Genomic DNA, 6,061 nt, shown 5'->3' on the forward strand with positions numbered 1-6,061 from the left:
AGATTCTAATACTCCCTTTTAAAACAATAATAAGATATAGTACCTCTCTGTTCCTTAACCCAATTGTACCCACACTGGTTTTGCCCCGAATATTTTATGAATTTCTATTTAATATGAACATTAAAATTCATACTGTGGCACATGCATAGAGGCAATGTATTATATTTTGAGTTTTGTTAACTTTTAAAAGAAAACGTATTAAAATTAGAAATTTAAAATTTTTGGCCAGGCGTGGTGGCTCATGCCTGTAATTCCAGCACTTTGGGAGGCCAAGGCCAGCGGATCACTTGAGGTCAGGAGTTCCAAACCAGCCTGGCCAACATGGTGAAACCCCCTCTCTACTAAAAAATACAAAAACTAGCCAGGTGAGGTGGTGGGCGCCTGTAGTCCCAGCTACTTGGGAGGCTGAGGCAGGAGAATTGCTTGAAGCTGAGAGGCAGAGGTTGCTGTGAGCTGAGATCGCACCACTGCACTCCAGTGCAGCTACTTGGGAAGCTGAGGCAGGAGAATTGCTTGAACCCAGGAGGTGGAGGTTTCAGTGAGCCAAGATCACGGCACTGAACTCCAGCCTGTGTGACAGAGCAAGACTCCGTCTCAAAAAAAAAAAAAAATTTTGGCCAAGTGCAGTGGCTCATGCCTGTAGTCCCAGCACTTTGCAAGGCCGAGGCAGGTGGATTGCTTGAGTCCAGGAGTTTGAGACCAGCCTGGGCAACATGGGGAAACTCTGTCTCTACCAAAAATACAAAAATTAGCTAGGTGTGGTGGTGCGCACCTATAGTCCCCGCTACTCAAGAGGCTGAGGCAGCAGGATCCCTTGAGCCCAGGAGGTAGAAGCTGCAGTGAGCCATCATTACACCACTGCACTCCAGCCTGGGCAAAAGAGCAAGACGCTGTCTAAAAATAAATAATAATAAAAATAAATAAATAAGTAAATGTTTTATGACAAATATAACTTTCATAGATTACATATAAAGTTTATAAGTAAACCTACAATTTTTAAGTGTACTTTTTTAGAAGACAAAACAACAAAAGGAAATGCATTTGGCATTCTGCTTGAAGTGGTCTGATAAGCCCTTCAGATAAGATCCGCAGTGTACGGAAGGCCTGGGGATCCCGGGAGGAGGGGTCACAGCCAAGGTTGCGGCTCCCTGTACTGGCCCCACTCTCCAGCCAATGATCCCTGCTTTCATTTCCTTCTGAAGGGATGCCTATGACCTCCTGGTTCCCTACCACTGAGGGAAGCTAACCTCTTCCCTAAGCTTGCTGCAAGGGTGACCCACCCCTTCCTTCCCCAAGGCCAGGGGAAAAAACGATCACTTGGTTTCCCATAGTTCAGCCAGTTGGAAGAGTGGGTCTCAGGCTTATCTGTTCTTTAGCCCCTCTGAACTGCAAGCCAGGGACAAACGTGCCAAAGAGAAGCTGAAGGTAGAGTCGCAATTCTAGGCCCAGCTGGCAAAGAACTTAACTTCTAGGCAAACTGAGGGCTGACGGAGTAAACTGTTGCCCACGTCAGACATTGATTTTAAGGCCAGGGTAAAGAAGAGTCTGACTCTGGCTTCCCAGCATGTCGCTGTCTTTTGCATATGAAAAGTAGAGAACTTAGCTCATCACTTGCCCTAGTTCCAGGCAGTGTTTGCCTCCTATCATTAAAGGGGCCAGCGGGGCCTGGCACTCTTCCCTGAGTAACCAGCACAGGGAATTTCAAGAGAGTCTGGGGTACAAGTGGAGGCTGTCTGATTCAGGTGGCAGAAGAAGGGTCTATGCTTGGACACATGAGGCTGATAGCCAGTGTTCAGGGCCAGGCTCCTGGGGTAACAAGCAACAATGCGTGTGGGCAGAGAGGCAGTGGTGAGGGCAGTGAGGGGTCACAGCCCGAAAGGCGCTGCACAATGAACCCATGGAAAACCAGTTTCACTAAAATCTCTCCAAGAAAGAGCAATCCAGGGCAGCTCCAGGGAAGCAACTCCTAACCCCCAGTCTTCAGCAAGGTGACTGCCAGAAGGAACAGAGGAGGGCTGGTAAAGACCTCGGGGGAGAAGCAGCGATACAGGAGTCCAGGAGACTGTGCGGAACGCCAGGAACAAGCAGGGCCAGCCTTGTCCACTTCTGAGGACCTGCGAGGCATCCCATGTGTCCCACCTGGGATCTTTTGGAATCTGAGTTTCCGTCCCGCCCTGTGATGGGCTCTCTATACGTGACTGCTAGAGCAGCCACTCTCAACCTCAGCTGTACCTTAAAATCATCTGGGGATCTCAAAAAAATACTGATGCCAGGCAGTGAGCCCTAAGTATCAGTTGTTTTGAATCTCCCTCCCCAGCCTTTTTTTTTTTTTTTTTTTTTTTGGACACAGGGCCTCACTGTCGCCTAAGCTGGAGTGAAGTGGCACAATCATAGCTCCCTGCAGCCTCAACCTCCCTAGGCTCAAGTGATCCTCCCACTTCAGTCTCCCGAGTAGCTGGGACTACAGGTGTGTGTCACTGTGTGTGGTTAATTTCTTTTATTTATTTATTTTTGAGATGGAGTCTTGCTCTGTCGCCCAGGCTGGAATGTAGTGATGCAATCTTGGCTCATGCAACCTCCGCCTCCTGGGTTCAAGTGATTCTCCTGCCTCAGCCTCCCAAGTAGTTGGGACTACAGGCATGCGCCACCACGCCTGGCTAATTTTTGTATTTTTAGTAGAGACAGGGTTGGCCAGGCTGGTCTCAAACTCCTGATCTCAAGTGATCTGCCTGCCTCGGCCTCCCAAAGCGTTGGGATTACAGGCGTAGGCCACTGTGCCTGGCCAATTTCTTTTACTTTTTATAGAGATGGGGTCTCGCCATGTTGCCCAGGCTAGTCTCAAACTCTCCTCCCCAGCATTTAAATGTATATTCTAATGCACACCCCAAGATTAAAAATGTTAAGAAATCTGATTGGAGGGGTAGAATCCCACTCCTACTGAATGTCAATTTACGACAGCTATAGTTGGCAAGAAATAGTTTAAAGTTTAAAGGGCACATTAGCAATGTATGGACATAGATTCTGCAGGTTCTCTGCCTTCTGCAGAAACCAAAGGGAAGAGCCTGGCCAGGAGATCTGTGCCTGAGTCTGCAGGACCTCCCAGTTCTCAGCTCCTACTCCTGGTTCCTCTGCAACTTCCTTGTGTTGTAGCAAACAAGATTTCCACCCTCCTGGGCCTCTCTGGTCTCCTGAAGAGGATCTCTGGTCTGCTGAGTCCCACCCTTTTCCTACCCCTTTAGAGGCAGGCTCTACATCCAGTCTGGAGGCAGAATGACCAGGACCGCCCTGGGAAGTGGACTTGCCCATATGAATGGAATCCTATAATGCTGTGTGAACTCCCTGCCTGCTTCCCCGGGGGTCAGGATTCCTGGATGCTGGCCCTTCCAACGTGCTATGCCCTACCTGTCCCCTTCTCAGACCACAGTCTCAGCCCACCCCTCTCTGGGCTATACTATGATAAGCCTCCTTCCCTTTATGGTTGAGCACCCCGGACGCCTTGCTCTCTACATTCACAGAGATGGGTGTCAGCTCTTCCTGCACTTAAGGTACCATTGTCTCCTTTGTATAGGATTTCCCTGGCCCCATACTCTGAGATGACACCCAGTCCTCACAGAAGTGCAGTTCACTCCCCTAGACATAACAGGATGGTAGAGGAAGGCAGTAACGGGGAGTTTTATCTTTCCATCTTTTGTAACACCAGCAACGAAGATTTTTTTTTTCTATGTCACTCTTCAGTCTTTACATAAAGTTCCACATGATAAATTCCCAGCTGAGTTCAATTCCAGGAAAAATTTTGTTCTGAGAATTAATTTGTAGGCTTTCTGTTGTCCAAAATCCCAAACTATGCAACCCAGTGTATTTTTGTTTGTCCCTAAGCTGCCAGAAAACTTACAGCCAAATGCGTTATCCAAGTGTTGTAATCTGCTAAATGCAGGCCACTCAGAAGGTCCACATTCCTTTTGCTTTGCTTTGTTTTCTCCTGAGCATTTGTGTACATACTTGCTTTTAGTCTAAGTTATCATAATCTGTGCCCAAACCAGTCACCAGGTCCTGCCTCTTGATCCTGGCATCCTTTCAGTTTCTCCTGCTCCTCAGTAATTCTGGCCTGGGTGTTGCAAAAAGCCTTGGTCTCCTCCTCCTCCTCCAGGCCTCCCCACCCAACAACTAGAAGGAGCGCATCACTCCTGCTTCAGTGCATACTCCTGCCTCCTTCTGGCAGATCCTTCCTTCCCTGTGCCTCTGCCCTGACAGCTCCCGCCTCACCTCTCCCCGGCATGCACTCACATACTGCAACCCGCAGCCACACTGAATTCCCCTCACTGGCCTCTCCTAGACTCTCTTGGTGACTTTGCACATTCTGTTCTTTCAGCCTGAAACAACCTTCCCTGCTGTTTCCTTGGTGAGGCGGTTTTCAGGGCTTAGCCCAAGCATCACCTAATCTGTGGGGATTCCCTGCACCGGCTCCTCTCTGGGCTGCCCTAGTTCTATGCCATGCAGCCCTCACAGCCAGGCTGGGCAGGACTGGTTTTACTTTTTTGTTTGACTACCCAGCTAGGATGGTGTTCCTGGAAGGAAGGGGGACGTCTCATTCCTCGCTGTGCCACTGATGTCTAGCACGCATGCCTAGCACACAGAGCTGTGTAAGGGTATGAATAGAATACATGACACAGGATTTTATTAATCTTCCAGAATGAAAGGACTGGAGGCCAGGCACAGTGGCTCAAGCCTGTAATCCCAGCACTTTGCGAGGCCGAGGCGGGCAGATCACCTGGGGTCAGCAGTTCAAGACCAGCCTGGCCAACATGGTGAAACCCCGTCTCTACTAAAAATACAAAAATTAGCTGGGTGTGGTGGTGGGCGCCTGTAATCCCAGCTACTCGGGAAGCTGAGACAGGAGAATTGCTTGAACTCCGGGGGCTGAGGTTGCAGTGGGTCGAGATTGCACTACCGCACTCCAGCCAGGGTGACAGAGCAAGACTCTGTCTCAAAAAAATAAAAATAAAAAACAAACGAAAGGACTGGAGGCCAGCCTCCCGCCAGCCTTTTCATTACCAGGCCTCAGAAACCGTCTCTGACACACACACACACACACACTCGCACACTCACACATACTTCCTCTCGGAGTTCTGCTCCGTCCCACGCTGCCCACCCAGACTTTCTACTCCACTCTTTTGGTATCTGATATTTGATGATGTAAGGAGAAGGGATTTCTTTCTCTTCTTTTATGTGGTAACCACAGAGGGTTTAAGAGTTTACTAACAAGATTACTGTAGCACGCCTATTACAACTCTGTTACCCCCAGCCCATTACTGTCCGATGTCATTTGGAACCTTGGGGAAGTCACATTCCTGAATCGCATCTGAACAGCAGCTGGAAGTCAGCACCAGCTGGTTAAGGCAGGGTCACTGCACTTCCCTTGCCCAATTTACGCCCCTGGAGAGCCCTGACCAGTTTCCTGCTTCCTGTCCCAGGCCCCCCATGACAAGATTCCACGGCTGAGGTCTGGCTCTACTCCGTGGTCTCACCCAGCTCTCTGTGACCCTCCTAATACGATTGTGTCCAGACTTCCCCTGGGCTCCATCTGCTCCCAACTCCACCCTTGGGGACAAAGTGGAAGAAGTAAGACCATTCAATCATCTTTACCTTCTTGCTTTCCCAAGACTGCAAATGCTGACCGCTGTGAGGGGGGCCCGGCTGCTCAGCCGCCTCGATGCCCCGCGCTTGCACGCGCACGCACACACTCACACACACTCGCACAGACACACTCACACACAGACACACAAGCGCGCACACACACACACGCGCGCGCGCGGACACACACACACTCACACTCGCGCCCCGAGGGACCCAGCACGGCGCAGGGCGGGGGTCTACCGGCTTTCTGCAGGTCCCCGAGGCGCGAGACGGCGGCGTCCGGGCTCAGTCCTGGGAGTCAGCCCGAGCCCGGGAGGAACGCCTGGATCGCGCTCTGCACAGTCCCGGGACCAGGCGGGAACTCAGACTCCCGTCTGCAGAGCCGCTTCCCCCGTCAGGGCTCAGGCCGCGCGAGCCGTTTCCTCCC

General features: G+C 50.7%; 1 protein-coding gene across 4 annotated transcripts in view, besides 3 other annotated features; it reads right to left on the reverse strand.

The window, feature by feature from the left end:
• DENND2A (DENN domain containing 2A) overlaps positions 1 to 6,061 on the reverse strand; it is a 123,042-nt gene that overhangs the window by 115,947 nt on the left and 1,034 nt on the right. Inside the window, exon 1 of one of the 4 annotated variants that reach the window (NM_001362678.2) lies at positions 5,875 to 5,998. The exons of the other annotated variants lie outside the window; for them this stretch is intronic. The gene's annotated coding sequence lies outside the window, so the exon portion shown is untranslated. Of the gene's footprint in view, positions 1 to 5,874; positions 5,999 to 6,061 lie in introns of those variants that run through there. 4 annotated transcript variants of the gene reach the window in all.
• Positions 622 to 1,229: an enhancer, noted in NCBI's record as "H3K27ac-H3K4me1 hESC enhancer chr7:140334787-140335394 (GRCh37/hg19 assembly coordinates)". NCBI's record gives its function as "activates a minimal SCP1, AML or CMV promoter by ChIP-STARR-seq in primed H9 embryonic stem cells {active_cell/tissue: H9 hESC(primed)}" and the evidence as "EXISTENCE:reporter gene assay evidence [ECO:0000049][PMID:30033119]".
• Positions 1,230 to 1,837: an enhancer, noted in NCBI's record as "H3K27ac-H3K4me1 hESC enhancer chr7:140335395-140336002 (GRCh37/hg19 assembly coordinates)". NCBI's record gives its function as "activates a minimal SCP1, AML or CMV promoter by ChIP-STARR-seq in primed H9 embryonic stem cells {active_cell/tissue: H9 hESC(primed)}" and the evidence as "EXISTENCE:reporter gene assay evidence [ECO:0000049][PMID:30033119]".
• Positions 1,838 to 2,444: an enhancer, noted in NCBI's record as "H3K27ac-H3K4me1 hESC enhancer chr7:140336003-140336609 (GRCh37/hg19 assembly coordinates)". NCBI's record gives its function as "activates a minimal SCP1, AML or CMV promoter by ChIP-STARR-seq in naive and primed H9 embryonic stem cells {active_cell/tissue: H9 hESC(naive and primed)}" and the evidence as "EXISTENCE:reporter gene assay evidence [ECO:0000049][PMID:30033119]".

This window comes from Homo sapiens, chromosome 7 (genome assembly GCF_000001405.40).
Source record: "Homo sapiens chromosome 7, GRCh38.p14 Primary Assembly".
Classification (NCBI taxonomy): Eukaryota; Metazoa; Chordata; class Mammalia; order Primates; family Hominidae; genus Homo; species Homo sapiens.